Source organism: Homo sapiens, chromosome 11, assembly GCF_000001405.40.
Source record: "Homo sapiens chromosome 11, GRCh38.p14 Primary Assembly".
In the NCBI taxonomy this organism is placed as follows: domain Eukaryota; kingdom Metazoa; phylum Chordata; class Mammalia; order Primates; family Hominidae; genus Homo; species Homo sapiens.
In genome coordinates, this window is record NC_000011.10 from 44,120,759 (window position 1) to 44,145,286 (window position 24,528).

At 41.8% G+C, this 24,528-nt stretch overlaps 1 protein-coding gene across 9 annotated transcripts in view; it reads left to right on the plus strand.

Annotated features, from left to right (window-relative positions):
- The window catches only part of EXT2 (exostosin glycosyltransferase 2), a 156,285-nt gene that overhangs the window by 25,081 nt on the left and 106,676 nt on the right, over positions 1 to 24,528 (plus strand). For 8 of the 9 annotated variants that reach the window (XM_047426529.1, NM_001389630.1, NM_207122.2 and 5 more), the window contains 3 exons: positions 4,031 to 4,226; positions 6,058 to 6,197; positions 9,287 to 9,380. In XM_047426529.1, coding sequence (XP_047282485.1) covers positions 4,031 to 4,226; positions 6,058 to 6,197; positions 9,287 to 9,380 — 430 coding nt within the window. Of the gene's footprint in view, positions 1 to 4,030; positions 4,227 to 6,057; positions 6,198 to 9,286; positions 9,381 to 23,488; positions 23,582 to 24,528 lie in introns of all 9 variants that reach the window. The other variant, NM_001178083.3, reaches the window with a different exon arrangement.

The following is a 24,528-nucleotide window of genomic DNA, read 5'->3' on the forward strand; positions in this document are numbered from 1 at the left end:
TTGATAGCTGCTTCTCACAGCTGTTTTGGCCTCAGCTGGAATTCTTGTCATTTTCCTTCTAAAATGAACTAAATTGGGAGTTTACAACTGTTACTATTGAGGGAGACTTCAAGTTCTCAGCATGGTTTTGCTTAAACTTAGATATCAGCACTGCTGGGAGGAGACATGAAAGCTATAGCTAGTCATTTTAGTCTTTAAAAGAAAAACAAATCCACCTTAAAATTTAGTTGGTTTAAAACTAAAATGAGCATACTCCTTCAACCATCTGCCAGGTCAGGGACAGCCAGCATGCAAGCAAGGGACACATTTTTAGACTTGTTCACATCTACACTTGTTCACATTGGGTGGGGAAGAAGGCGCACGTGGAATGTTCAAGCCCTAGTGGGGTGGGAGCTTCTGCTTAAGAGAAGAGTAGTAAGGTAGCCTGGTGCTACCACATTTATGTTGAAAATGGAGTAGCAGTAGAGCGGGGATCCAGTGATCCTGGTAACTGAATGTCTAAAATAGAACTTTATTTCTCATCAGTGAAATCTAACCCAGAGTCTTTCTTAAGAGTTTTCTTTGAGCACCACACATCAACATCTGTATTTATTTCTGTATCTGTACAGACAGATGTCTATCTATTTGTGCATATTGAAAACCATGCATTCATCTCAGTATCTCCAGTTCCATCCAACACTGCAGGGGCATTCTGGTTTTCTCTCTTTCCATATTTGTAACTCCCTTCTCTGACTCCTAGAAATCTGGCTCTCTTTATCCTCAACATCTTTACTTATTTGATCAACCCTCTTATATTCATCAAACTTCTGTTGCCCCCCTGCCCCCACACTGCACAGAGGCCTTCCCCACCCCTCCTCATCCCTGCTCAGACTCTGACCCCCTACATTGTGCTGCCCTGCACCCTCCCAGCACAGATGCCTTTCTCACACTTCTTGGGTTCTAGCACTGGGGTGATGCTATCATTACCATCATTCTCCCCACAACTTGGGCACCCTTCTCAGCCTGCCCAGGCTCTAACACTCTCTTCTGAGCTGCCCAGATGCCCTCCTAACCTCACTTGGTCTCCAGCATCCCCATAACCCTTCCCCCAGCACAGAAGCCTTCCTTTCACTTCTGGGGCTCTGATACCCTGCGCCAGGCTACCTTACTACTCTTCTCTTAAGCAGAAGCTCCCACCCCACTAGGGCTTGAACATTCCACGTGCGCCTTCTTCCCCACCCGACCATGCAGAAATGCCCTCTGGGACTCCAATACTCTATGCCCTTCTGCCTGGACATCCTCTTTACTCCTCTTGGATGCCCACCTGTTTATTCTTTTTCTGGAGAGGGTAGAACACTAGTTTTGTGCTGTCAGCTCTACTTAAAGAGAAAGGCTCCAGAAACATCCATGAGATCCTTCAAAGAGCCAGCGTCTTATTGTTTGGAAAGACCTTTAAAGACCATTTAGCTCTTAACTTGATGCATGACTTTTCAGTAACTTTTTACTGAAAAAGTTTCTGATTTATACTGAAAAATCACCAACTTACAAGACAGTCCATTTCATTATTGAATAGCTTTAATTATTAAGGAAGTTTCCCTGCTTGTCTTGTGGGTTTGACTGTAAATTTTCCTCTTGCTTAAACAGGTACGTTTGATTATAGAAGTAATTTGAGCAAAGATGGTGTTTAGTCTGAGATGAACTGCGGGTGCTCCCTGTATGTGATCTCGCCATCACTAAGTCATCCTCTGAAAATTAATACTTTTACAAAAGAAAAATGATTGAGGCTCAAGGCTTGGAGTAGAACTCAAAAGCCTGTTTTAGTGTCTAGAAAGAATACTTTTGGCTATAAATATTGAACATATTGCTCAATAAATTGTAATTTAGGAGGAAATGGGCCAGGAAAAAGGAACCAGTCTGTACAGCTGATCCAAACCATCTCCCTGCTGGGTTGCTGTTGTATATCTTTCTTATCTCCACTTACCGTCATCCTGGCCTCTGGCTCTCACCTACCTTGTGGCGTAGCTCCATTAAGTAGAACTTTCTGCAGTAAGGACGTGGTCAACGTTTGTGCTGTCAGGCAGCCCCAGCCACATATGGCTATTTGAGCACTGGAAATGGGCCTAGTGTGACTGACAAACTGAACTTTTAATTTTATTTACTTTTAATTAGTTTAATTTAAATGGCCTCACGTGGCTAGTTGCTATTAGTGAAGTTCTAGGGAGTCTGCTGGTTCCTTTTTTTCTTAATTGTGATGTGTTAAGTGCCTTTTGCTCTTAGTTAGGCCAAAACCAGAATTGATCCTGAGGACGTAAAAGCAGTCTGGCTGTGGTATAGGTTGCTCTTTTCTCTGGGTTTGTATGACTAGTCTAGCTGGCTAGGCAGGTGTTCACCTTCACTCATTGCTTTATGTGATTTGGACCTGAAGCTTAATCCTCTATAAAAGGAGATGACCTTCTCAGTTAGAGTATAATTATTGAGTGAGATGCTCCCCGGCTAGAACTTCCAAACAAGTCTGAGTAACTAAGGAAAAGTAACAATTACCATTCTCTCTTCAAAGCCAAAAACAAACAAACAAAAAATGGATGGGTTCACAAACTCTAGGTTGCGTGGTGGCGTTGCCTGTGAGAGATACGTAGCCCTAGTATTTTCCCTGGGCTGTACCAGTTTGAGCTGGATTTCAGTGTGTGCTGCTTCTAGGCTTAATGAGTGTTTCATTTCTTCCTGGAACATGCTTTCTGTGATTCTTCTCTTTGACACTGATTCCTTGTGGTCCCTCAGCCTAAACAGGTTGAGTATCCCTTATCCAAAATGCTCAGGACCAGAAGTGTTTTGGACTCCTGATTTTTTCAGATTTTGGAGTATTTGCGTTATACTCTTGGTTGAGCATTCCAAATCCAGAAATCTAAAATATTTCAATGAGCATTTCTTTTGAGCATCATGTTGGCATCCAGAAAGCTTTGGATTTTGGAGCATTTTGGACTTCAGATTTTCAGATTTGATATGCTCAACCTGTATAGGTTTTATGTTCTGTACCCTCTCTGTCTTGTTTGAGTCTTGTCTTCCAGGAGGGAATTACTTCCCATCTGGTCTCTCCAAAATCTTCCCCTTGACTTCAGACTTACTAACTTTGTGTTTCCATATCTGTCTCTTGTGGAGATCTGCATGGCACTAGACCCTTGGAGATCTTTCTTCCCTCTGTCTTGTTTGAGTCTTGTCTTCCAGGAGGGAATTACTTCCCATCTGGTCTCTCCAAAATCTTCCCCTTGACTTCAGACTTACTAACTTTGTGTTTCCATATCTGTCTCTTGTGGAGATCTGCATGGCACTAGACCCTTGGAGATCTTTCTTCCCTCTGTTTTCTTTTACACATCCTTGCCATCCAGATGTTAAGACTGGAGATTCTATGCTTTGATGAAGATCGTTTTTTCTACTTCTTGTTTTCAACTACCAATTCGGTCTCCCTCCCATTTATGTGGCCTTGATGATGGGGACTTTCCCTATAGCCTCTCCATTGCACAGGGATGCTGTTAGACAGCCAGGAGCAGCCCTTTCCAGAGCCCTTCAGTTGCCTGCCAGTGCTTCCCATCAAGCTTCCCTCTTTCCCCATTTGAAGAATGCAGCCAGCTTCCAGTCGCTTTCAGATCAGGGACTCAGATGTAACTAAGACAACACTTCGATGTTCCTTCCAAATTATCAGTTTCTCTCCTACACACACACACACACACACACACACACACACACACACAATTTATAGCATGCGCTCTCAGCTTAGCATATTATAAGCATTTCCTCACGATATCAAGAACTGTTCCCAAATAAGATGTGTTATGATTGCATAATATTTCAGTGTGTGAATGAATCATATCTTACTTTCTCACAATATATAATATTTTAAATATTTACTAATACTACAGAAGATAATTTTAAAAATCAGTGGAGGTGAAGACTGGTAAGGAAACACTTACTGTCATAAGTTTAATATCAAAGTTTGTCTTACCTTGACTAACATACCAGCTGCAATTTTCCAATCACCTGTTTTTTTCCCTTGTAGTCCACGGCAATACTTCCTCCTGTCATCTCAGGTGGGTCTCCATCCTGAGTACAGAGAGGACCTAGAAGCCCTCCAGGTCAAACATGGAGAGTCAGTGTTAGTACTCGATAAATGCACCAACCTCTCAGAGGGTGTCCTTTCTGTCCGTAAGCGCTGCCACAAGCACCAGGTCTTCGATTACCCACAGGTGCTACAGGTGAGTGTCATTCATTACCTCTCGCAAAGGCTCAGGAGAGTTTGCTTACATGGGTTAAAATTGAGCCCAGCGAACCTGAGTTGTTTTCAGCATGCAACTAGAATTACCCAAGGGGAAGAAAACATAGCATTGCTCTTTACTGGACATGTAGACCTTCAGGTACTTGGATGTCTGGTGTCTTGTGTTCGTGCAAAGCTGCTTGGCCTATGAGAGTCTATACTCCTTTCAGATATTCATTATACTTCAAAAAGACAAGTCTCATAGATTCGCAGACAAGCCACATGGACAAAGCAGGCAAATGTATCTTGCTTTTACCCCCATATTCATAAGGCAGTCCAGAGAAATTTTCTTCTTTGAGGTGGCAACTTGCATCCCTTGACCATGCTGGCCTACAGAGCCACAGTGAACTTTCCCTGGGAGTGGAGGGGTTTAGGGGTTGTTTTGATTGTTTTGCTATTTGGAGTTCTTGCCACCTTTAGCATCTCCTGTCAGTAGCATGTCCTTTATTTACATAGTGGGAATGGCTGTACTTCCATAACCATAGGGAAAGCGGTCTCTTTGGGGATGTTTTATATGTAGGATATTTGACATTCCAAGGGTATGGGGGCTAGGAAATGAGAAATTGAGCTTTGTTCACTTAAATACTTAAAATGGACACAGGTTAGCTCAAGGAGAAACACAAAGGAGCTGGTGTGATTTTTTTTTTTTTAATCTCCAGAGAGCTTGCCCATACTGGGATTGTAAAAATACATTCAAAAAGTGCTGCACTCCTCCTGGAATGTCTGGCTGGTAACAGTGGTGATGAGGGCAGGAGTATTTATAGTAACCTTTGTCTAGACAGGAAAAATGGTTATCAGCACGTGTGTCCACATCTGGATGCTGACTCTTGAGGTCAGGGGAGCTTTCCACCTGCACCTCCGGGTACCACGATGACTTCTCTTCCTCTCCTCTTGCTGCTTTTCTCATTTATCCCCAGAGGTGTTTGGAATATCGAATTCCTTTATTTCTTTTTCTGAACTTTCCTTTTCTCTAGCTTTAAAGATTAGTTTTTGGTTTTTTTAAAAAATCTTTTTCCTCCTTCTTAAGAGGCAAAATCTGGGAGAAACAGAATGTTAGGTAGTTAAGGTTTCTGTATTTTGGTTTACCTATTGCAGCTGTTTTTTCTGTGGTACATCTCTCCTTTTCCCAAGTATTCCCCACATTGAGGGGGTTTGAGGGAGTGAATGAGGAAGAAATTTTTCATTAGATTTTTTTTATAGAACATATTAGTCTTAATATCTTTTCAAAGGCATTGAATTCATGAAATGAGTATCTTCTATATAAAAAGCACACTGTTAGATGCTATGGGGGGTAGAAACATGAAAAGAGATTTGATACCTTCCCTTTAGGGGGTCTTGTAGAAAGCCTGAAATTCCCAGACAAAATAATTCCATTACAAGGTAGGCTGAGGTAAGTACTGTAAGAGATGTCAGACAGTGTGCCGTGGTGTGTTTACATAGTACACTAGGGCCTAAAGAGACCCATTTGCAGGAAGTCACGTTGTTAGCTGTCTAAGGGAAGACTTTGACATTGACCTTGAACATTTTCAGAAGGCCAACAGTGGTGGCATTGAAGCAATACTGAAGAGTAGAAATATTAATACAAAACATTGCAGCCATTTAAACTTTTCAAGTTTTACAGGTGTGAGCTGTTGTCTTTTGGCATTTTTGTGTCAAGATGCCTCAGTATTGCTTGGCGTCAACCCTTGTAGAAACTTTGTGGTCTGTAGGGATCAAAGTTAGTGGATCAGCAAAACTAGTTTGTAATCTCTTGCCTCTTTGTGTTCCTGCAGGAGGCTACTTTCTGTGTGGTTCTTCGTGGAGCTCGGCTGGGCCAGGCAGTATTGAGCGATGTGTTACAAGCTGGCTGTGTCCCGGTTGTCATTGCAGACTCCTATATTTTGCCTTTCTCTGAAGTTCTTGACTGGAAGAGGTGGGTAGTACCTCCTAGTAAACTCTACATTAGTGGTTCTGCGTATATTACAAATAAAATCTCCTCAGGTCATTGTAATGTATACCCTGGTTCAAGAACTACTACAGATAGTTTTTCTCTATTTTCCATTAGGAGAGTTAGTACACTGGTCTAGAGCAGTTCACAAACCAAGGCCAGTTTGCAGGCTGGCTGTTTTTGTAAGTCAAGTTTTATTGAAACACAGCCGTGTCCCTTCCTTTACGTATAGTCTGGCTGTTATTGTGTCACATTGGTAGAGTTAAGTAATTGCAACAGAAATTGGATGACATACAGGGCTTAAAATATCACTATCTGGCCTTTCATCACAGGGGTCCCCAACTCCCGGGCTGTGGCCTGTTTGGAGCCGGGCTGCACAGCAGGAGGTGACCAGCGGGCCAGTGAACATTACCATCTGAGCCTCGCCTCCTGTCAGATCAGTGGTGGCATTAAATTATCATAGAAGCGTGGACCCTACTGTGAATTGTGCATACAAGGGATCTAGGTTGCGCTCTCCTTATGAGAATTTAACTAATGCCTGATGATCTGAGGTGGAACAGTTTCATCCCCAAACGATTCCCTGCCAAACCCAGTCTGTGGAAAAATTGTCTTCCACAAAACCAGTCCTTGGTGCTGAAAAGGTTGGGGACTGTTGCTTTTCAGAAAATGGTTACCAACCTCTAGCCTAGACCGGTGTTCAACTCTGACTACAGAGTAGACTCACCTGGAGAGCTTAAAAAAAATGCCTTGCCTAATTCTTGGGGATTCTGAATGTTAAAGCTCCCAGGTGATTCTGATTTGTAGTCAGAGTTGAGAACCACTGGTCTAGAGTCTATTGAATTTGCATAATGTTGTAGATGGTGGTGGAGAGCCTCATGTAGATGAAAGCTTAGAGACATTCCCAGTGTACAGATGGACCCAGTTCCATTCTACTGGGTGTTCACCATTTATATTGCAATAAACAGAATAGCCCTCTATTCTCATGCTTCACTTTCCCAAGATTTTGCAGGGTGAAGGTTGTTGAAAATTAATTCCATTCATATCTATCTCTCAGTCTTTTCCTTGCCTCAAATGCTTACTGGTTTTTTCCTCTCCCAACTTTTTTGGTATTTCTGTCCAAATCTGATCACCACAGGTATTTGAACAACTTGAAAAGCTCTAGTTCATTCATTCATTCATTTATTCATTCATCTCACATTGATTGGAAACCCTCTTGTGAGTAACATAGAGTCTCTGTTTCCAAGGAGGCTAGAATCTAGTGAGAGAAGACAAACCGATGATAATGTTTTGTGGTAAATGTCATAGCAGCTGTATGCACAGGGGACCATGGAAACCCAAAAGAGAGGAGGGAGCCTAACTCAGCTTGAAAGAGGAGAGCATGTAGTTATTCTTCATGCCTTAGAGAAGCGATGAGCCACTTCCAGCATTTATCTCCCAATGAAAGCATCCATTAAGTACCTTTTATTTACCAGATGCTGTCTTAAGTATAGGGAGACAAATACAATCAAGGCCAAACCTTTTCTCAGGGACACTCATAGTGTAGTGGTGGAAGACAGAGGAGTAAATCAGCAGTTACCAAATCCTGTGATGAGACAGCTGTGACTGGATGGGATGCCAGGAGGAGGGGGAGACACACACCATCATTGGCAGTGGGATTGGTGAGGGCTTCACAGAGGCGGTAACTCTAAGCTGAGTCCAAAAGGGTATTTCTATGAGAATCTAGATCTGCTTGGGTAGTGCTAATTATGGATTTAAAGTCAGAAGGCCTAGGTTGAGATAACCAGCTCTCTCACTGGCTGGCTTTTTGATCTTGGCAAATGACTTAATCTTTTTTGAGTCTCAGTTCTCCCATCTGTATAGTGGAAATCATTTACTTACTTAACAAATGTTTATCAAGTGCTAACTGTGCAAGGCAGTAATATACCAGGTGCTGAGGATACGCTGGTGAGTGGAGCCAGGCACACTTTCCGTCCTAATGGACTAGCCTAGTTGGCAGAAGTGAGGTTTAGAGTTTAATCATTAATTTATACAAATGTAATTACAAACTCTGCCAAATGTCGTGAAGGAAAAGTGATTGTTGAGTCCTCTCTTTCTCTTACCCACCACATCTAATCTGTTAGCAAACCCTGTGGGCTCTACCCTCTCATCCCCATCATCAAGTCTTCCCTCATCTGCATCTCTTGCCTGGCTTTTGCAGTGTTCTCCAGTTGTTCTCTCTGCTCCTGTCCTTGCTTTCCTGTAGTTTATTCTAACACTTTAGATAGAATGATCCTGTTGGAACATGGTTAGGTTATATCATGCTTTTGCCCAAAACCCTCTCATGGCTTGCCATCTCAGAAAAAAAGCACAAGTCTTTCAGTGGCCTACAAGGTCCTATACTCTTTGCTGTGACTCTGTCTGTCCCATTTCTTCTTTCCTGGTGTTATTCTCTGCCTTCTTTACTCTGCTCCAGCCACAATAGCCTCCTTGCTGTTCCTGGAACTTGCCCACCATACTGCTTCTTCAGGGCTGTTTGCTTGTTAGACTTTTTGCCTGGAATGCTGTTTCCCAGGCATTCTTCTGGCCTGCTTACTCTCTTGCCTTCCTTGTCTAATTAATTCACTGTTGGGTTAGCACATAATAGGGCTTCCATAAATATATGCCAGATAAATGAATAGATTTGCATAGATAGCTAAAGGAGAAAAGTATTTGTTAACTTAGAAACGGAATAAAGGAAGAGTGTACTAGGTGGGTGGGATTTCACATGCAAAGGCCCTCTGGTAGGGCAGAGCATGGTGTGTTCAAGTGACTGAAATAATACCAGTGTGGCTAGAGCACACTAGTGGAGTGGAGGCAGGGTGAAAGATTAATGGAGTAGGGAGTGGGAGGTAAAAAAATGGAGCTGTAAGAGAACTCCTTTGAGAAGTTCAGCCAGTGAAGAAGGGAGGGGAAAGAGATAATACTTACCGGAAGGGATGTGGGGCTGAAGGAGGTTTGGGATGTTGTTTCTGCTTGTGAAATGAAACAAGACTGTGTGTAGAAATGCTTTCTGTGAAGGGCTGTGTGTATGTAAACTGTTTTGCTGTTGTCTCCAGAGCATCTGTGGTTGTACCAGAAGAAAAGATGTCAGATGTGTACAGTATTTTGCAGAGCATCCCCCAAAGACAGATTGAAGAAATGCAGAGACAGGTAAGAGGCCAAGTCTTGGGGAGGTGACATGGGTGGTACCGAAATGGTGGCCTTGACTGGATACAGAGGGACAGGAGCTGAATGCCTGAGTGGGGTTTACTTCCTCCACTAGATCAACTAGCCAAACTGAAACGATAGGAAATTAATGTTAGGTGAGTTGCATCAAATAAGGTTTGAAATAATAACTCTCAGAGAACTGTGCAGAGGTAAGCCTACTGCAATTTTAGGGTCTTACCATAGCAGATGCAAAGCTGAAGCTCTTTGGAGGGTTTGTAGTCACAGCAGGTGATAGTCGTAGTGACTAAGACAGCCATGGAAGCTGGACCATTTCAGGGCAATACTTCTGTGTAGCTATTGACCATGATACTATTGCTGCACAAACTAGCCCAGCTTCCCAGTTCAGTCATCCTTTGTAATTCGGGAATCCTTCCCTCTCTTCTGGAACATTTGCCATTTTCCTGCCTCTCTTTCCAAATTTCTCTTCTACCTTCTGACACCCCATTCCCTAGGCTGATCTCTGACTGTCTCATACTCCACTTGATGTCCCACTGAGTCCTGCTTCCGTTTCTTTGTCCTGAAGGACATTTAATTGGGTTTAAATATCAAGCAAGGTGAAAAAGTTAAGAAGACTATCCCAAAAATTTTTAATGGACTTTTAAAAAGGTTTAATCTTTGTCAAAATCACCGATGTGGGAGAAGAGCAGGAAAAGAGGCTTGGCGGATTCTCAGCAGTACGTGCGTAAGTGTCCCATGCCACCCCCTGCTGTTAGTTCGGCACCCTCAGCCTCAGGCAGAGAGCCTGCATTTGGCCATGTCCCAAGAACAGGCCACAGGCTTCTGTCTGGATGGGGACAGCGCATCTGCCTGGCTGTGTGGGGAGGGGATCTGAGGTTCTGACTGTTACTTAAAGTTTCACTTTGACCTCCTGCTTGAACCCCACTCTTCCCCTGACTTGGGGCTCTGCAGTGTGACTCAGGTTTTTCTCAGCTGATTTAGGAGGCAGCTCTCTTGAGTCTATAGCATCAGTTACCACTTCTTCCTTTACTTTTCAGCTTCCACATTCTGATGCTGTTATCTTGTCTTTCATTCTCTTTTTCTTAGGGGATACATACCTTAATTTAGAAAATTCCCCTTAATTGTCATTTTAGAGTTTTAGGAGAGTGAGGTTAGTGGATGTGTTCAGTCCACCCTCTTTATTATGATAGTGAACTTCTTATCGACACAGATTAAGTCTGTAGGTTCTTACCTCAGATTGCCTGGCTTGGGTATCAGCTCTGTGGGTTACAAACTCTGTACCCTTAGGTAAGGATCTGCCTTCTCTGGGCCTCAGTGACCTCATCTGTGCAATATTTTGGCATTCTGGTTTGAACGCAAATCGCAGGTTAGTTTTAGCTTCCCTGCAGTTTATTTATAGCATCCTCCTGTTCGTTTTAAGTTTCTGGGTTTCCCAATTGTTATTTAACCACTGATTTCATCTAAGTTTTAGTGAATCAGAAAATCAGTCCAGAGATCTCTAGATTTTTTATCTAAACCTGTGGTTCCTAAAACTTGTGTAGAAGAAAATGCCCCTTGAGGAGTCATAATGTTTGTGCATTTTGTGTTACCTTTTCTTTCCCCGCCGAGGGGTCTCACTCTGTAGTGCAGGCTGGAGTGCAGTGGCATGATCTTGGCTCACTGCAACCTCTGCCGCCAGGGTTCTAGTGATTCTCCTGCCTTAGCCTCCCGAGTAGCTGGGACTACAGGCACGCGCCACCATGCCCGGCTAATTTTGGTACTTTCAGTAGAGACAGGATTTCACCATGTTGGCCAGGCTGGTCGAACTCTTGACCCCAAGTGATCCGCCCGCCTCGGCTTCCCAAAATGCTGGGATTATAGGCGTGAGCCACCACACCTGGCCCACTTTGTGTTACTTTTTATGGAATCTTGATTTATTAGTAAAACTAAATATAGAATTATAGGCTAAAGCAGAGACTATTTTATACTAGAATCTAGTCTAGAAAGGGTAAGAAAAAACTGGGGAGGTTAAAATGCACAAATTCTATCCAGTTTCTTCTCCACCCCTCCACCCTGAAGCTGTGAAAGAGAATCATTTGGTTTTTGGAGTGGCGTCTACTGCCAGCTCACAGAGGACTGTTGCCCATAGGAGGGTGGTGTGGGAACCACAGGTCTGAGATAAGCTTGGTCATTTTCAGTGTTGGCTCAGAATCATAGAACAGTTGAGAAGGAATGAATGCTGGTCATTTAAAACAGCGTACTTTTGGGTTATTTGGGTTCAAAGAGACACACTGAGTCAAAAGACTTGGGTTTGATCCCTGGCTCTGTCCGTTTGATTGCATGACCATGGTAAGTCCCCAAGCTCCCTAGGCTTCCATTTCCTCATTTATGAAATGAAGGGGTTGGCTAAATAATCTCTCATGTTCCATGTGGCTGTTAAAAAACTCTATGAAATGCTTATCCCTACCAAGAACATTACTCTCCTTGACAACATTAATAATTTAGTGGTCATCTCTTCTCCCCTTGAACAGCTCTAGTCACAAGGGCCACTTGCCTCCTCTAGTGGTGAACAGTCCACTATGCCAGCTTAAAAAGAAAGGTGGTCTTGGCACTTTCCCGGCCCCCTTTCTAACTCCCTTTTCCGCTTTCTGACGGCCTCTTTCCCTGTGCTGCTTTCGGACCATCTAAAGCTCTCCACTGCGGCAACTCACTAGTCCCACTCCCCTTTCTCTGAGTAATCCATGTTCCCAAAATGACCTCTTTTCTTTTCCTAACCCCACATTTCTAGAGTGGGCTGATCTCAATTAGATATGAGATTATCTGGTTAAAGTAATTTCCAGTTAGGTATAAAGGATGACTAGGTTTCTTCAACTACTACTAGATTCCAATAGCACCCCTCCCCTCAGTTGTGATCACCAAAAATGTCTCTAGAACATTGCTTGCCAATTGTCCCCTTTGGGGTTGGGGGTGGAGGGCAAGCAAAATTGCTTTAACTGAGAACCACTGTTCTCTATAGATAGTTAATGTCTCATCTCTCTAAAATTAGAGTTCTTTGGTTCTATAACAAAATATACTGTTTCCAAAACATTCTTGTCATTTTGCTTTCTGTTTACCTTCTATTGATTTAACCTGACCTTGGCAGGAGTAATTAAAAAAATGGTAAAACACCTGATTCTGAAAAGTTCTTATACCTTAGTGAATTCTCTTTAGGGAGGTCAGAGGTGGGTCTTTTTGCAAGACAGGCATCCACTTTTAGGGGAAAGCCTATTGTATCAGTAGTTGATACCTTGGAGCCCCTAGATGATGTATCAGAATGAACTGAGGGTGAGGAACAGAGTCTGATTTGCTTGCTGAGAAACTCCAGACTAGCTTAATGGAGCTGCATTGGACAGTTGTAGCCAGCAGAGGTCTCCATCCACTTTTAATTAACTCATTTTCCCTCTGAGTATTTAAATCTTTCCAAGAAATCCTAAATGCCATGAGCCACTCTGGTGCTTCACACTGACATCTTCCTGATAGCTGCTCTCTAGAGACCATTTCTTTCAGATGAAGAAGAAGAAAGAAAATCCTGCTTAGCACAGGATTTTACTCTCCCTAGATGCAATAGAGCTAAAGTTTCTGATTTGGCCCCAGAAATGTGGGGTAGGGTCTTGGTGAGGAAGGTATTGGAGCAACATTTTGCAGCTTAGAGTTTAGGATCAGAAAGGCTACAATCTGACAGATGTCTAAAGTGGTGAAAGTCCTTGTTGTGACGGGAATTTGTGTGTACCAAGGGAGAAAGTCATACTACCTGACAAAGAAAGGAAATTAAATTCCCTTAGATGTGATAGTAGCAGCCAAAAAGTTAACTACAAGGCTAGAGCCTAATGTAAGTAACAGCTATAGTTAGACTAAGACTTTTGAAAAAAAGTACAACCTGTGTCTCTGGTATCTATTCCTGAAGGCCACCAGTGAGCAGTGCTGCCACACGTGGCATTGGGCAGACTACTGGGGGCTTATAGGGCTTTTTGTGGGGAAGTTAAAAAACAGTTCCTTAAGTCAGTAGAAGACAGTAGTTGTAACAGTATAAAGCTGACTTCTCAGTTGGCCTTTTATTGTCCTGTGAGCTAATGATTAACTAGTTAATTTATTGAATCCCTAATGTTTTTTGGTGGGGGGAGAGATTATAGGAGATAATAAAAAAAATCTTTGATCCCCATTCACAAAGGGCTTGTGTTGGGGATATATGGGTATAAGCATAAAGAAAGTTGAGAAGATGATGCCGATATTTCTAGGTACATTATGGGTCATTAAGGGTCTGAAATGGAAGGGAGAAAGTTGGGGCTAAAGCTGTCAGGATGAATTTCTTGGAGATGTAGAATCTGAGGTAGGCCTTGAGATGGGAGTTCCATCAGCCATCTTTCTTATGTTGGAAGGCAGGCAGAAGTATGCAGCTAAATATTTTTCTGTAGTCAAATGGAACATTCATATTCCCAGTCTCCCCTGAATCACAAAGAAAAAGTACACAATCTGGGATCTCAGAAGGCTGGATAGACACTAGACTGTATCGTTAGAAATGTTTGTATGGATAGGGAGGAAGGTGTAAATGGATCCCCAGTTTATCTGTTGAGTAGAATTTCCAAACATTCTTTTATTGGTCAGTGGCTCCACCAGCAGTGACCTCTAACCTCAGCCACACTAGGAGGTGGAAGTCAGGAGCCTGACTTGCCTTTGAACTCTTCTTTGTACTCAATTGACTAGAAGCCTTTGAGGTGGCAGAAACATTCAGCATCTTCTTTTCTCTCTAGCCTTTAACACTTGGGGTACATTAAAATACCAGTTTCTTTTCAGTCTATTACACTGATCCATCTCAATGTGCCTTCATATTTTTCTATTAAGCAAACCAAATATTGGTGCTGCAGAGAAGTACTTGAAGATGTAGTGGGCTGATTAGGAAAAAGACAAAACAATTTTATTTAAGAAAATAAAACCTCTAGACTATAGTTGGGCCTAGTAGTGATCAAGAAGAGAGTAGAAGAGGCTACAGAACAGTAAATGTGTGCATACACCGAAGTTCCTGTACTTTATAGGAGAGCCCCTATCAGGGGCCTCTTATTTTATCCTACTTGCATACAATTTCAACACATTTGAATTATTTGGTTTCCATAGCCGTAGTAGTTTGGAAGAGACACATTTAAAGTGAAGAAAGACTACTAACAGTGAAGGTATCTGAGATGGGTTATCTGCTAATCTGGTATGAATAAAGAGGATGGAAATACTTTTTTTTTTTTTTTTTTTGAGACAGAGGCTCGTTGTGTCACCCAGGCTGGAGTGCAGTGGTGCGATCTCAGCTCACTGCAACCTCTGCCTCCTGGGTTCAAGTGATTCTCGTGCCTCAGCCTCCCAAGAAGTTGGGATTATAGGCATACGCCACCACACCCAGCTAATTTTGGTATTTTTAGTAGAGATGGGGTTTTGCCATGTTGCCCAGGCTGGTCTCGAACTCCTGACCTCAAGCAATCAGCCCTCCTCAGCCTCCCAAAGTGCTGGGATTACAGGCATGAGCCACTGCACTGGGTGGAAAAGCTATTTTTAATAAAAAAGAATGCTCAGCATATTGAATGTAAGGATAGCCAGCTTTTCAGGTTTCACTTTATCCTGGATATATCATTATAAGATGGCAGAATTCCTCAGTTCAGAGAAGTACATCTTTATTTTTCGTATTTGGAATTTCTGACATCCAAATAAGTCTTATCATCAATTTGAACATCAAATGTAGTTTCTGTTTCTTCCCACAAAACTGTTATTAATGTGGCATCTTAAAATTGAGGAAATACAGAAATTACTATTCATGGTGATGCCCCTGAATCTTTAAGCTAAGTTTAATTTTGTTTAGCATATATGTTTTTAAGATATTGGATCTTGTGTAATATGTTTTATAAAGTTTTCTGTTTAAGATGTTTGTTTTTATTTTTAAAAAGTGTTATTTGCTTAAAAGTGTAAACCCTCAGATGTCTAGAAACCTTAGCAACCCAGACTGATGTACTGAGGGTTCCCTGTGCTGCTGGCCAGTCTGTTATGTCCATGACAGTTACATAGCTGTCTGTGTCAATTTCTCCCTCCTTTCCCACCCCCAGTGTACACCAGTTTACAAAGCAGACTCAACAGAGTAGTAAGCTAGGCCATTAGAAGAGTAATCTGAATTTTTTTATGTGAAGAAACTAAGGATAAAGAGACGTAAAGTAATCCTCCCAAGACCACACAGCATGTGAGGGACAGACAAGCAGCACACTCTGTTCTGCTGCCTACAACTTCATTCAAACCACAGAGCTGTGTGGCCTGGATTGAGGGTAAAAATCAGGATGAGCTTCCTAACAATTCAAGCTAAGTGCTTATTGAATAGTCTTCCTTGAAAAAGTGGTTGCTTGAGACATTTAGGACTGGACACAGCCCTGGAAATATATTATGAGGAATGTGGAAAAGGTTTCACTCTAATTTCCAGTATCAGTGTTATAATGTCTACCATTCTTATCCACCCTGCACCGCCACTGTGAAATTGAGGATTTTAAGAAGTATACATAAACTGGACTCTTGGGGCTTTTTAAAAAATGCCAAATATTCCCTGCCCCTCCTCCTCCCCTCTCCAGTCCTGACATGCCACTCCAAGCTGTGTTTCGTGGTCTCTGCTTTTGTACTTGCCCTTAAACAGTTACTGGCTGCTTCCCTTAAACAGTGCACATTGACCTGATCCCTGGAGTTCTTCCTGTGAAGTAGACAACCATGGTTCTAATACAAAGGGAGGCTCTTTGGCCAATGGGAGAGCCTTGGTAATGGGTGTAATCATTTTGTGGGATATTTTAAATTTCACAGTTTTTTTTTTTCAGTAGCACTCTATATTCTGTTTGAATTTTCCTAGTATGTATATCCCTATTGTGAAGGAAAGTGGTCAACATGTGTTGTTTAAAGCAGCATAAAATAAGGTCTCATTTAATTGGAATTCTTAAAGAAGACCATTTTTATGTGTTTAACTATTTTTTTCAACTTTGTTATTAAGAAGCTTGTTGGAAAAAGACTTTTACCAAGTATCTGATGATGGGAAGCCAAGAAAAGCATTTTAATAGAACTGTCTCAGATTTACAATGCACTAGGGCCTGTAAATAAATTTTCCTGTCTTTAAGGTTTGGACTGATTTGCAGTTGTTTTGTATAGCTTCTGAGATCTAAATCCTCACAGTCCAGATGGAGAGACCATAAAGTTACTTTCCCTGGCAGCCTTGGTCTGTCTTGTCTGTGGGCAAATACAATTGAGTAGTATGTGGATCTTAGTCTGTATAGGTCACCCGTTTTACTGTGATGCCAGTTTTAATTGGTTTGGTGACTTTTCCAAGAGCAGCTCACCAAAGCATTCTTTAAATTTAGGAGAATTAGGGTCCCTAATTTCATAATGCAAATCTAAATTCTCACAGTCTAGATGGAGAGACCATAAAGCTACTTTCCCTGGTAGCCTTGGTCTGTCTTGTCTGTAGGCAAATACAGTTGAGTAGTATGTGGAATTTAGACTGTGTAGTATAGTCACTCATCTTATTGTGATACCAGTTTTAATTGGTTTGGTGACTTTTCTAAGAGTAGCTCACCTAAGCATTCTTTAAATTTAGGAGAATTAGGGTCCTTAATTTCATAATGCAATCAGTTAAATAAATATGGATTAAGGACTTGCTTTGTTCCTAGTATTGTACTGGCATGTTGAGGGAGATTTTAAAAAGGGTGGGCACAGATCCTGTCTTTAAGAAAGGCCCTCAGGTTGCTGGAAAGAGAACTTTCAGTAATACATAAATTATAAGGCCAGGAGTGCTGTGTACTCAGTTATGCTAAGGAGAGCCAGGAATGACCTCAAGATCAGAGTGGATCAGAAGGTGAAAGGAATCTTCACAACTGGGTAGCCTCAGATAGAGAGGGTGAACATCAGGGCACTGACTTCCACCAGGAGGTTCTGTGGAGAGACTAGTAGGTAAGAGGAGCATCTGGTGGCACAGGCACGGGAGGCAGGGGAGAGCTTTGAATACCAGCAACAGAGAACTTGGTTGAGAACTGAAGGGAAGGACGGTAACTAACAAGCGGAAGGTAATGAAAAGATTTGTGAGGCAAGGAGAAAGCAGTGAACATAATTGAAGAGATTTAGGAAAGAAATCAAAGAGCTGGAAGGGACCTTAGAAATTATTCAACCCTTTCCTTGTATTTTACAAGTGACAAGTAAGCCCTAGAGTTGCAGTAATCTTGAGAATGAATTGTTAGGCCTAGTCTGCAGCTGGAACCTAGGTCTCCTGACTCCCAGTCTGATGATTTGTTTTTTTTTCATGGTGTACTGCAGTATTTTCCAAACCGAAGGTAATGATTCATTAGCAGATCATGAAGTCAATTCAGTGGGTCACGACTGGCATTTTTTTTTTAATGAAATATAATAGGAAACTATTAGAGAGCTTTATACAGAGTAAGGGTAAATATTTCCTGTAGCTTTTGTTCCAGTAGTGAGTTGTTGCATAAAATGTATTTGTGTATTTCTTACTGTGGGTCCCAGTCCAGAAAGTTTGAGGAAAGTTGGTACTGGAAAGCCCAGTGGGCCTGTGAGTTGGAGAGACTTGAATTTGAGTCCTGCTCTGCCGGGTGTGTACCAGTTTTGTAGCTTCTGTTTTCTTACCTATAACGTGGAGCTAATAATAGTATGGAGTAGTTGTATTGATTAAATGAGATGATTGACTCAAAGCATGTAGATTCTGGCCCCCCACTCTATGCTGGCCGTCATTTGGGACAACTCCTCCTGGGGCAGCATTTAAGTATTAGAAGGAGCCTCCAAGGAATGCAGAGTGGTCTTAAAGAACCACAGTAAGTTACAACTACTGATGTATTATGCATTTGCTTCTGGGCTTGGAAACTCGAAAGAGAATTTATTCCTGTGGGTTCTGGTGTACATTTTACATCTTGGCATGGAAGAGGCTTACTTCTCTCTCTCTCCTTTTTTTTTTTTTGCGTGTGTGTGTGAGGATCAGAATGACTTGTAGGGAGATAAAAATCAGTGACTCTTTAGCTGACCTTTTTTTTTTTTTAATTCATTGGCACATTTGGATAAAGTATTATTGCTTTCTTTCCCCTTTCCAATGGAAAAAAAAATGGTACTGAGCCTTTTCCCCCTTCTAATCTTTTCTTTGCCTGATCATAATTTTATCCATTTTTTTAATTAAAAAAACTTGTAGAGGAAAGTTAGAATCAGAATAGATGTTTGAGTGGTAAACAGCTGAGGAGCTACAGTCTAGTAAGTATAAGCTAAAAATAAAGGACATTTTTATGTGAATTTAGGAGGACTGGTCACATACCTTTTAGAAATAGCTGTTCACATCCTGCAGAAAGGAGAATGAGTTCTGATATCTGATTTTCATGGTGCCCTCTGCCTCTTCACTTTTCCTCTTCTCCCCATTTTGCTGCCTCTGCCTCCCTTCCCCCATTTCTTTCTAGCCAGCTCCATCCCCTATTGGAAATCCCGCTGGAAAGGGGAGACGAGCTTCATCTCCCACATGATTTGGGCCAGGGGCTAAAGCACTCCCATAAATCTGCAGCTCATTTTAATGCCACGTTAAAACAGTGTGAGCGGCTGGTTTCCGTGGCCCCTGCCCTTTTCTTTATGGGCTTCTTTGGCTCTTCTTTATAAAGAGGCCCTGTGGAGTCATTTTAAAGTCCTTATCAGTTTGCTGACAGCTATATGGGCCTTTCTGCTGAGTCCAGGAGCTCAGGCAGGCGTGTGAAACTTCTGATATTAAAATTGAAGAAAAATGCCAGGCAGAAGGGATTGGGTGGTGGGGCAGTGGTGCAGAGGTGAAAGACTAGCAAGATAATTAACCTTTGCAGGTCCGGAACCTCGCCGTTGGCCACTGGTAGGGGCAGGGCAGGAAGGGTTAGGCAAAAGAGGGTTTTCCAAGGGCTTTTATTTTTATCCCAAGATTAGAAATGCCATTCCACTGGCAGTTTGTGCTTTCACGCTTCAGCAAGTGAGTTGGGCAACTTGAAGGGTTAGGGTGGCCAGGTTTGCAATGAATTTTTTCCTAAAGGCAGTCTGACTGGCTGGACCTCTGCTTGCGTGTCTTTGCCAGCTCCAGCCTGCTGTCTCTGCCTCCGCAGCATCACTGTTATCGAATTTAAAGGGACTTTCATCAGTCTGCTTTGCTGACCCTTTTAGAACAGACTGTTAACCCTCAATAATCCTCCCAGAGAGTTTCATGGAAACACCAGGCCCTCCATAAATGTCAGCCTGCGATGCTTGGCCCTTTTTACCCTCTCTGTTATAGAGAAGTAGACTAGAGGCTGCTCCTGCCTCTATCCTACCACTTTTCTTTCTTTCTTTGCTGGAAAACTGCAGCAGACAGCTGAGGGGAAGGAAAAACCATTACCTGGATCAAGGCCAGTGGTTTGATGGGAGCTTCAAAATCTTTGGCATCTCCTGCCCAGAATGTTTTTCCAGGCATTTTAAAAAGAGCATCCTTACTCTCCTTCTCCTTTAAACCTTCCAACTTTGACTTCCAAAGGGGGATGGATGGGTAGAATAAGCCCTTAGAATGTACTTTATATCTTCCTGCTCTTCTTCTAACTAAAGCTTTTAGGAAGAGGTTAGTAGTGATAAGCAAAATCCAATGGGCATATATATTTCTAACTACTCTGTATACAGCTTTTTGGCACAAACATGTTATTTTTCCTTTTTCAAGTGGACATGAGCAGTTTTGCAAGTGTGTTCCATTTAAAATAGTCATTTAACTTGAGGTTGAGGCAAAAGCAAGAATTTTTATAGTAAGTTAGTCAAACATATATAGCTGTTGATCTTGGATTGTCATTGAACAAATAATAAAATATACTGATTCATTTTATTACTCGTGTAGCTGTTGTGGGGAAGAGTACAGTCATCCCTCAGTATCTGTGGGGGATTGGTTCCAGGACCTCCTGCAGATACCAGAACTCAAGGATGCTCAAGTCTCTGCTACAAAATGGCATAGTATTTGCATATGACCTATGTATATCCTCCCTTATACTTTAAATTACCCCTAGATTAATTATACTTCCTAATACAATGTAAATGCTGTGCAGATAGTTATTATACTGTATTGTTTAGGGAATAAGTGAAAGGAAGAAAATTTTATGTATGTTCAGTACAGGCACAGTTTTTTTTCCGAATATTTTTGATCTGTGATTGGTTGAATCCATGGATGTGGAACCACAGATACAGAACCGCAAATACAAGGGACCAACTGTAATTGTACAAAAACCAAATGAGCAGCAAAACAAAGCAAAATGCCCCAAACTCCAAAGTGGTAGAATCACTTTTCCATACTTTTCTGATGACTAAGTTGATATCATCTAATTAGTTAAGTTTAATTTAGGACAGTGAACTGGGTGTTATTGCTTATACTATACTCTTAACAAACTAAACAACTTTTAAGTATGTTGAAAGTTGTCAGTAAATTTATGATCATGAACAATCTTCATTACATAGCCTTTTGAAGGTGGCGGGTAAAATGGTCACACTTTCCTCCTTGGGCATTTGTTGGAGAATAGTCTCTAAAGTTAACCATCGGTTTAATCCCTTGTCATGAATCCCCAATATGGGATATTGCTTTAGGAAATAGCCTCCCTAATAAAAGTGTTAAATGTTAATTTGCAGCCTATGTAAGAAATCTCTGATTACTTGGGGCTGGTTTCCCACAGGGTGGGACTATTTGACAAATATTTCTGAGAAATAATGATCATTACAGGAAGCGAAGTGCAGGTTTATGAATTCATGCCGTACCTACTTAGACAAATATCTAGGTTTACAATACAATAACTTGTAAAGTATCAAGTGTCAATGTGTTTGGTAGAGAACTCAGTGTTTTCAAACCTTCAAATAAGGGTTAAACTGATTAATAAAATAAGTCATTTTGTTTATTTGCCTGAATTTAGTATGTAGATGGCTAACATGCTACAAATATTGGCAACAACAGAAACATAGGATTTCTGTCTCTATTTATAAATATTAAAATAACTTACTATATACTTACATATATTCTGTCTCCTTAAGCATTGCAGAGGCTGAGAGAATTTGGAGTTGCCTAATTATTTTTGGCATGGCATAATTTATAGTTTTATAATAGCACAATTCATCTTATAATTCTGTGCTACTGTTCTTGGGAATGTTTAGACAACAGTCACATATATTTATTTCTTTATCTTCACTCAGAGTACAAGATAGCTCCACTTAAGCCATTTCTGGCAATATAGTTATTTTTCTACCGGTAACTTAAAGGCTAATTTGTTATATTTCAGTGGGTAGTTACTGCCCATTTTGATAAGGAGTTTAATAGCAGGAAAACAGTTTGCTTGTTCCTTCAGATTCCAATACTTTCTTATGAAGAGGGACAAGTGGTTTTTTTCCAAATGTTTGAAGTCTATCTATACTGAACTTTTTTAAAGTTTCAGGTTAATTTGATCAGGATTTAATGATCTTATACATGTATTATTTATATTTTAGGAAGACCTTTGAGTTTTTCCTTTGGTTTTAAGCTGCAGACTATGGTTGAGGGCAGCAGTGTGGTATTCTGGCATTTGATGGGAATGAGGAGACCTACAGGCCAGTGATACACTGAAGGGTCTGAGTAACATGCTCATGACTGTGAAGCAGTGCATAGGGAATATTAGACCTGATCCTGCTCCCTTCAGCTTAGAATAACTCCAAATCATGATTCCTCCCGAATCTCTTTGCCTAGCAAGCTATAAATGAATTCACATATGATATATCAGATATATAATCTTTGGAAATACTTTCATTTATTTACTTAAATTTTTTGAAATAGAGTCTTACTCTGTCGCCTAGGCTGGAGTGCAGTGGCGCAATCTGGGCTCACTGCAACTTCTGCCTCCCAGGTTCGAGCGATTCTCCTGCCTCAGCCTTCCGAATAGCTGGGATTACAGGTGTGCACCACCACACCTGGCTAATTTTTGTATTTTTAGTAGAGACAGGGTTTCACTATGTTGACCAGGCAGGTCTTGAACTCCTGACTTCAGGTGATCCACCTGCCTTGGCCTCCCAGAGTGCTGGGATTACAGGCATGAGCCATCACACCTGGCCTTGGAAATACTTCCAGATTAGAAACTATAGAAGAGAAGGAGTTCAACTGTCTAATCTTCTCCAGTAGCAACTTTTAACTGTGAGATGTGAGAGGGATATGATTCCCTGGGGGAATTTTCAAACTTCACATATCACTCCTACTCCTCCCACTCTTGTAGGCTTTCTGGGCTGGGGGCTTGGGACATGAATCTGTCTTGAGAGTCCCTGCCATAACAAACCACAGTTACTCCTACTCATAGGTGTTTGTCGTCCTTCAGATGAGAAGGGGCAAGGAGAAAAAGTGAGAGCCACTGACATAGCAAGTGTAGCTCCCTCTTTTCAAGAGTCTCAATTTGGGAAACATACACAGGGGTCTTCCCTCGGAATCACCAGCAGAGCTTGTCCCTATAACCCTTAATCAGAAGATGGGGCTTTCTACCAGCAAGCAGTTCATAGAGGACTCATGTGCCTCTGGTCAGGTGCAGCAGTGATAGATGGTATTGGACCTACACGATTCTCAATGTCATTTTTCCAGGAATGTGTAGTAATAATAGTGGACAGGGCTGCTGTGCTACCTGACTGCTGAGTTAGTATTCATGGCCAAAAGGAAAACCTGCCAGAGAGTGTCTCCTTGGTGTTCTCCGGAATCATTGCTATGTGGGAAAGAAAATAGAGTAGAGAACGTCACGCTAACATGGCTGTCATGATAGCAGCATTGGGGATAAAGTGAGCTTTTGATTTCTCCCGTCTTACTCCCTTCATGTGTTGTGTTTGTGTGTGTGTTTTAATTAAAAGGAGCAGGTCTTTCAAGTGTGCCTGGTTGGAGTGAGGCTTGTTTTAGATTTGCTTTCTCTAATCAAACAAACTTACGCTTTCTTTCTCCTGGTTTTAGCATAGCAAACATGGAAAATCTCGCCCCAGGCAGATTCCTTTATAGCTAGTTGACCCAAGTTGTGCTCTTATTTATTTATTTTTGATGACACATCTTGATTAAAGGTTTCCAATTCACCTTTCAGCTCTTCATGGAACCAGCCAGGAGAGAGAACTGGTCAGCTGCTAATCACCAAATGAACTCCCTGATCTGGCCTAGGGAACAGTGGGATTCACAGGCATGGGTGACTTAGAAAACCGGGCCCAGCAGAAATGAATCTCTAGTCTCTTTGCTGAGAAGGCTTGACCAAACACAGTTTTATTGGTCAGTGGCTCCTGCTTTAGTAACCTTTCACCCCAATGGCTCTTGGAGGTGCAAGCCACTGGCCGGCCTTGCCTTTGAACTCCTCATGGCTCCTGCCACCTCAAAGGCTCCCAGTCAGAGGCTTGTGTTTTGCTAGGGACCTCACCTCACAGCAGGGTTTCAGCAGTTGGGAAAACCGATCCACCCTTAGAACATTGACATATTTGAAGGTGATACCCCTGAGACTTGAAACCTAGGGCTTTCTATTTCAGGAGCTGTCTGTCACATGCCAAGAAACATGACTCAGGCTTCCCCTTTTCCCTTCTTGACCCCTTCTTGTTTCCTGGAGGACAGGAGGTCATAACATGGGAGCGTTCCCTCAGAGTATTCATGAAGTCCTCTCTTACTGTCAAGCTCTTTCACCCCTTATTCTTCTAACGTTCCCCAAGTAGCATTTATTTTGAAAGTTTTTTTTTAATAGGGCAAAAGCATGCAAATCACAAGCATCTTTGGTGTCTGGGAACATAGTGGTGAAGATGGTGTAGTGGAAGTGTCATGAGGCTGTGTGTTCAGTCCTAAAGCATTCAGATCACAGAAGTCCTAGTTGTGAGAGAGCCCGGCTGTAGTTTTCTTTGCCTTCTTGATTCCATTCCATCTTCAGAAAAAAACTAGATCTTGCAAGAAGACATAGAAATAGCATGGATTGTCCTCCCGCATCTGCTTGGGTTCTTGCCTGAGGAGCAGAAGTGAAAACTGTTGGTATTTAGAAGCAAATCCAGGGAGCTGTCGATATTAGATGACTTCAGTATAGCTTCTTTGGCAAGAAATCAAACATCTCATTCTAAAAACATTGAGTAGAAAATGCCTCTTTTACTCATGATG